Source organism: Homo sapiens, chromosome 3 (genome assembly GCF_000001405.40).
Source record: "Homo sapiens chromosome 3, GRCh38.p14 Primary Assembly".
Lineage (NCBI taxonomy): Eukaryota > Metazoa > Chordata > Mammalia > Primates > Hominidae > Homo > Homo sapiens.
Window position 1 is genome coordinate 75,119,667 of NC_000003.12, and position 7,513 is coordinate 75,127,179.

Below are 7,513 nucleotides of genomic sequence, written 5' to 3' on the forward strand. Positions count from 1 at the left end.
TTTTTAACAGTTATAGAGGGTGGAGTTTCCCTTTTATCCCTTCTCCCTGAACACTGAACACCTCTGCTTCTCATGAAAGGGGAGAACTTTTGCTAATTGCCAAGTTGCCTGGATTAGCCAGTCCCCAAAAGGAGTCAATAGTTTTGCAACAAATGATTGTATTTCTTTTTTAAAAATATTCCTTTTTTTTAAAAATTATTATTATACTTTAAGTTTTAGGGAACATGTGCACATTGTGCAGGTTAGTTACATATGTATACATGTACCATGCTGGTGTGCTGCACCCACTAACTCGTCATCTAGCATTAGGTATATCTCCCAATGCTATCTCTCCCCCTGCCACCCCACAACAGTCCCCAGAGTGTGATGTTCCCCTTCCTGTGTCCATGTGATCTCATTGTTCAATTCCCACCTATGAGTGAGAATATGCGGTGTTTGGTTTTTTGTTCTTGCGATAGTTTACTGAGAATGATGGTTTCCAATTTCATCCATGTCCCTACAAAGGACATGAACTCATCATTTTTTATGGCTGCATAGTATTCCATGGTGTATATGTGCCACATTTTCTTAATCCAGTCTATCATTGTTGGACATTTGGGTTGGTTCCAAGTCTTTGCTATTGTGAATAATGCCGCAATAAACATACGTGTGCATGTGTCTTTATAGCAGCATGATTTATAGTCATTTGGGTATATACCCAGTAATGGGATGGCTGGGTCAAATGGTATTTCTAGTTCTAGATCCCTGAGGAATCGCCACACTGACTTCCACAATGGTTGAACTAGTTTACAGTCCCACCAACAGTGTAAAAGTGTTCCTATTTCTCCACATCCTCTCCAGCACCTGTTGTTTCCTGACTTTTTAATGATTGCCATTCTAACTGGTGTGAGATGGTATCTCATTGTGGTTTTGATTTGCATTTCTCTGATGGCCAGTGATGGTGAGCATCTTTTCATGTGTTTTTTGGCTGCATAAATGTCTTCTTTTGAGAAGTGTCTGTTCATGTCCTTCGCCCACTTTTTGATGGGGTTGTTTGTTTTTTTCTTGTAAATTTGTGTGAGTTCATTGTAGATTCTGGATATTAGCCCTTTGTCAGATGAGTAGGTTGCAAAAATTTTCTCCCATTTTGTAGGTTGCCTGTTCACTCTGATGGTAGTTTCTTTTGCTGTGCAGAAGCTCTTTAGTTTAATTAGATCCCATTTGTCAATTTTGTCTTTTGTTGCCATTGCTTTTGGTGTTTTAGATATGAAGTCCTTGCCCATGCCTATGTCCTGAATGGTAATGCCTAAGTTTTCTTCTAGGGTTTTTATGGTTTTAGGTCTAACGTTTAAGTCTTTAATCCATCTTGAATTGATTTTTGTATAAGGTGTGAGGAAGGGATCCAGTTTCAGCTTTCTACATATGGCTAGCCAGTTTTCCCAGCACCATTTATTAAATAGGGAATCATTTCCCCATTGCTTGTTTTTCTCAGGTTTGTCAAAGATCAGATAGTTGTAGATATGGGGCGTTATTTCTGAGGGCTCTGTTCTGTTCCATTGATCTATATTTCTGTTTTGGTACCAGTATCATGCTGTTTTGGTTACTGTAGCCTTGTAGTATAGTTTGAAGTCAGGTAGTGTGATGCCTCCAGCTTTGTTCTTTTGGCTTAGGATTGACTTGGCGATGTGGGCTCTTTTTTGATTCCATATGAACTTTAAAGTAGTTTTTTCCTATTCTGTGAAGAAAGTCATTGGTAGCTTGATGGGGATGGCATTGAATCTGTAAATTACCTTGGGCAGTATGGCCATTTTCATGATATTGATTCTTCCTACCCATGAGCATGGAATGTTCTTCCATTTGTTTGTATCCTCTTTTATTTCCTTGAGCAGCAGTTTGTAGTTCTCCTTGAAGAGGTCCTTCACATCCCTTGTAAGTTGGATTTGTAGGTATTTTATTCTCTTTGAAGCAATTGTGAATGGGAGTTCACTCATGATTTAGCTCTCTGTTTGTCTGTTGTTGGTGTATAGGAATGCTTGTGATTTTTGCACATTGATTTTGTATCCTGAGACTTTGCTGAAGTTGCTTATCAGCTTAAGGAGATTTTGGGCTGAGACAATGGGGTTTTCTAGATATACAATCATGTCATCTGCAAACAGGGACAATTTGACTTCCTCTTTTCCTAATTGAATACCCTTTATTTCCTTCTCCTGCCTAATTGCCCTGGCCAGAACTTCCAACACTATGTTGAATAGGAGTGGTGAGAGAGGGCATCCCTGTCTTGTGCCAGTTTTCAAAGGGAATGCTTCCAGTTTTTGCCCATTCAGTATGATATTGGCTGTGGGTTTGTCATAGATAGCTCTTATTATTTTGAAATATGTTCCATCAATACCTAATTTGTTGAGAGTTTTTAGCATGAAAGGTTGTTGAATTTTGTCAAAGGCCTTTTCTGCATCTATTGAGATAATCATGTGGTTTTTGTCTTTGGCTCTGTTTATATGCTGGATTACATTTATTGATTTGCATATATTGAACCAGCCTTGCATCCCAGGGATGAAGCCCACTTGATCATGGTGGATAAGCTTTTTGATGTGCTGCTGGATTCGGTTTGCCAGTATTTTATTGAGGATTTTTGCATCAATGTTCATCAAGGATATTGGTCTAAAATCCTCTTTTTTGGTTGTGTCTCTGCCCAGCTTTGGTATCAGAATGATGCTGGCCTCATAAAATGAGTTAGGGAGGATTCCCTCTTTTTCTATTCATTGGAATAGTTTCAGAAGGAATGGTACCAGTTCCTCCTTGCACCTCTGATAGAATTCGGCTGTGAATCCATCTGGTCCTGGACTCTTTTTGGTTGGTAAGCTATTGATTATTGCCACAATTTCAGCTCCTGTTATTGGTCTATTCAGAGATTCAACTTCTTCCTGGTTTAGTCTTGGGATAGTGTATGTGTCGAGGAATTTATCCATTTCTTCTAGATTTTCTAGGTTATTTGCATAGAGGTGTTTGTAGTATTCTCTGATGGTAGTTTGTATTTCTGTGGGATCGGTGGTGATATCCCCTTTATCATTTTTTATTGCATCTATTTGATTCTTCTCTCTTTTTTTCTTTATTAGTCTTGATAGCAGTCTATCAATTTTGTTGATCCTTTCAAAAAACCAGCTCCTGGATTCATTAATTTTTTGAAGGGTTTTTTGTGTCTCTATTTCCTTCAGTTCTGCTCTGATTTTAGTTATTTCTTGCCTTCTGCTAGCTTTTGAATGTGTTTGCTCTTGCTTTTCTAGTTCTTTTAATTGTGATGTTAGGGTGTCAATTTTGGATCTTTCCTGCTTTCTCTTGTGGGCATTTAGTGCTATAAATTTCCCTCTACACAGTGCTTTGAATGCGTCCCAGAGATTCTGGTATGTCGTGTCTTTGTTCTCGTTGGTTTCAAAGAACATCTTTATTTCTGCCTTCATTTCGTTATGTACCCAGTAGTCATTCAGGAGCAGGTTGTTCAGTTTCCATGTAGTTGAGCGGTTTTGAGTGAGATTCTTAATCCTGAGTTCTAGTTTGATTGCACTGTAGTCTGAGAGATAGTTTGTTATAATTTCTGTTCTTTTACATTTGCTGAGGAGAGCTTTACTTCCAAGTATGTGGTCAATTTTGGAATAGGTGTGGTGTGGTGCTGAGAAAAATGTATATTCTGTTGATTTGGGGTGGAGAGTTCTGTAGATGTCTATTAGGTCCGCTTGGTGCAGAGCTGAGTTCAATTCCTGGGTATCCTTGTTGACTTTCTGTCTCATTGATCTGTCTAATGTTGACAGTGGGGTGTTAAAGTCTCCCATTATTAATGTGTGGAAGTCTAAGTCTCTTTGTAGGTCACTCAGGACTTGCTTTATGAATCTGGGTGCTCCTATATTGGGTGCATATATATTTAGGATAGTTAGCTCTTCTTGTTGAATTGATCCCTTTACCATTATGTAATGGCCTTCTTTGTCTCTTTTGATCTTTGTTGGTTTAAAGTCTGTTTTATCAGAGACTAGGATTGCAACCCCTGCCTTTTTTTGTTTTCCATTTGCTTGGTAGATCTTCCTCCATCCTTTTATTTTGAGCCTATGTGTGTCTCTGCATGTGAGATGGGTCTCCTGAATACAGCAATCTGATGGGTCTTGACTCTTTATCCAATTTGCCAGTCTGTGTCTTTTAATTGGAGCATTTAGTCCATTTACATTTAAAATTAATAGTTTTATGTGTGAATTTGATCCTGTCATTATGATGTTAGCTGGTTATTTTGCTCATTAGTTGATGCAGTTTCTTTCTAGTCTCGATGGTCTTTACATTTTGGCATGATTTTGCAGCGGCTGGTACCGGTTTTTCCTTTTCATGTTTAGCACTTCCTTCAGGAGCTCTTTTAGGCCAGGCCTGGTGGTGACAAAATCTCTCAGCATTTGCTTGTCTGTAAAGTATTTTATTTCTCCTTCACTTATGAAGCTTAGTTTGGCTGGATATGAAATTCTGGGTTGAAAATTCTTTTCTTTAAGAATGTTGAATATTGGCCCCCACTCTCTTCTGGCTTGTAGGGTTTCAACCGAGAGATCTGCTGTTAGTCTAATGGGCTTCCCTTTGAGGGTAACCCGACCTTTCTCTCTGGCTGCCCTTAACATTTTTTCCTTCATTTCAACTTTGGTGAATCTGACAATTATGTGTCTTGGAGTTGCTCTTCTCGAGGAGTACCTTTGTGGCATTCTCTGTATTTCCTGAATCTGAACGTTGGCCTGCCCTGCTAGATTGGTGAAATTCTCCTGGATAATATCCTGCAGAGTGTTTTCCAACTTGGTTCCATTCTCCCCATCACTTTCAGGTACACCAATCAGACGTAGATTTGGTCTTTTCACATAGTCCCATATTTCTTGGAGGCTTTACTCATTTCTTTTTACTCTTTTTTCTCTAAACTTTCCTTCTCACTTCATTTCATTCATTTCATCTTCTATTGCTGATACCCTTTCTTCCAGTTGATCGCATCAGCTCCTGAGGCTTCTGCATTCTTCATGTAGTTCTCTAGCCTTGGTTTTCAGCTCCATCAGCTCCTTTAAGCACTTCTCTGTATTGGTTATTCTAGTTATACATTCTTCTAAATTTTTTTCAAAGTTTTCAACTTCTTTGCCTTTGGTTTGAATGTCCTCCCATAGCTCAGAGTAATTTGATCGTCTGAAGCCTTCTTCTCTCAGCTCGTCAAAGTCATTCTCCATGCAGCTTTGTTCCATTGCTGGTGAGCAGCTGCATTCCTTTGGAGGAGGAGAGGTGCTCTGCGTTTTAGAGTTTCCAGTTTTTCTGTTCTGTTTTTTCCCCATCTTTGTGGTTTTATCTACTTTTGGTCTTTGATGATGGTGATGTACAGATGGGTTTTTGGTGTGGATGTCCTTTCTGTTTGTTAGTTTTCCTTCTAACAGCCAGGACCCTCAGCTGCAGGTCTGTTGGAATACCCCGCCTTGTGAGGTGTCAGTGTGCCCCTGCTGGAGGGTGCCTCCCAGTTAGGCTGCTCGGAGGTCAGGGGTCAGGGACCCACTTGAGGAGGCAGTCTGCCGGTTCTCAGATCTCCAGCTGCGTGCTGGGAGAACCACTGCTCTCTTCAAAGCTGTCAGACAGGGACATTTAAGTCTGCAGAGGTTACTGCTGTCTTTTTGTTTTTCTGTGCCCTGACCCCAGAGGTGGAGCCTACAGTGGCAGGCAGGCCTCCTTGAGCTGTGGTGGGCTCCACCCAGTTCGAGCTTCCCAGCTGCTTTGTTTACCTAAGCAAGCCTGGGCAATGGCGGGCGCCCCTCCCCCAGCCTTGCTGCCACCTTGCAGTTTGATCTCAGACTGCTGGGCTTGCAGTGAGCGAGATTCCGTGGGCGTAGGACCCTCCGAGCCAGGTGTGGGATATAGTCTCGTGGTGCGCCGTTTTTTAAGCCGGTCTGAAAAGCGCAATATTCGGGTGGGAGTGATCTGATTTTCCAGGTGCATCCGTCACCCCTTTCTTTGACTCGGAAAGGGAACTCCCTGACCCCTTGCGCTTCCCAGGTGAGGCAATGCCTCGCCCTGCTTCGACTTGCGCATGGTGCGCGCACCCACTGACCTGCGCCCACTGTCTGGCACTCCCTAGTGAGATGAACCCAGTACCTCAGGAAGAAATGCAGAAATCACCCTTCTTCTGTGTCGCTCAGGCTGGGAGCTGTAGACCAGAGCTGTTCCTATTTGGCCATCTTGGCTCCTCCCCCTAAAAAATATTCTTAAAATGCTTCATAAAGAATAATCGGATAGCCTCTTAAGAGTAGAACTCTATCTGTGGGTTCACGTCATTCTTGACTCAAAGAAGTAAATGGAAAAGCTGCTTTCAATAAGACACTTGAAATTTATTTACACTAAAGCTTCTCAGATTTATATTAAGTCAGGGTTTGAGTGATAGAAGGTGGTTTTCAATGTAAAGTGATTGAAAAATTGGTCAGAACTTGTAAATCATTTCATAGCAACATATCTGTGTTGTTAGGCAGAATGTTTGTCCAGGTTTGTGTAATGAGACTGCTTTTCCCGTAGCAAGTCTAACAATGTGTTGGAAAGGCCCAGAAAAGGAAAAGATTATTCTCAACCTGCCATAAGACTTTTATTTCCAATAGGAGTTTAATAAACACTGGAAGCAGAAAAATCACTCACTAGCAGCTCAAGGATATCTACAGTGTCTGCCCTGATATTTGTACTCATAGCTGAATAACAGCTGGTAATGAAGTGGCAAGAAATGATGGCTAATGAGTTATAATATCAATGCCCAGTAATGCAAAGTTAAGCATAAGCTATGGTGCAATGAGGTCAGGAAACACAGGTAGAGAATGGGGCCAAAATGGATGGATTTCCTAGATAGAGTGTTAATGAAAGTAAAATAATAAATACATAAAAACAAGATATAGTTGAGTGTGTATGATAGAATCCCCCTTATATATAAATAATACACACAATATTTTGTTTCTATTTTATGCTAACACAGTCATGCATCACACAATTACATTTCATTCAATGATGAACCACATATACAATGCTTGTCCCACAAGATTATAATGGAACTGAAAAATGTCTATTGCCAAGTGACACTGTAGCTGTTGCAATGTCTTAGTGCAGTGCATTAATCATGTCTTTGTGGTGATACTGCTGTAAACAAATCCACTGCACTGCCAATCCTGTAAAAGTATACTGCATACAATTATGTACAGTACATAATACTTGATAATAATAATGATACTATGTTTCTGGTTTATGTATTTACTATATCTTAAATACTATTGCATTTAGATTAATAGAGTTATTTTAGAATGTTTTCTCTCCATTTATTTAAAAAAAAAGTTAAATGAAAAACAACCCTAGGCAGATCCTTCAGGAGGTATTCCAAAGGAAGACATTGTTACCACAGATGACAACTCCATAGGTGTTATTGACCTTAAAGACCTTCCAATGGGACCAGATGTGGCGGTGGAAGATGGTGATATTAACCATCTTGATTCTGTGTAGACCTAGGCTAATATGTGTC

General features: G+C 40.2%; 3 annotated features.

Annotated features, from left to right (window-relative positions):
• Positions 5,826 to 5,980: a silencer, noted in NCBI's record as "fragment chr3:75174643-75174797 (GRCh37/hg19 assembly coordinates)". NCBI's record gives its function as "represses an EF-1alpha promoter that drives an FKBP-Casp9 reporter gene in an ReSE screen in K562 erythroleukemia cells {active_cell/tissue: K562}" and the evidence as "EXISTENCE:reporter gene assay evidence [ECO:0000049][PMID:32094911]".
• Positions 5,826 to 6,419: a biological region, named in NCBI's record as "NANOG-H3K27ac-H3K4me1 hESC enhancer GRCh37_chr3:75174663-75175236".
• Positions 5,846 to 6,419: an enhancer, noted in NCBI's record as "NANOG-H3K27ac-H3K4me1 hESC enhancer chr3:75174663-75175236 (GRCh37/hg19 assembly coordinates)". NCBI's record gives its function as "activates a minimal SCP1, AML or CMV promoter by ChIP-STARR-seq in primed H9 embryonic stem cells {active_cell/tissue: H9 hESC(primed)}" and the evidence as "EXISTENCE:reporter gene assay evidence [ECO:0000049][PMID:30033119]".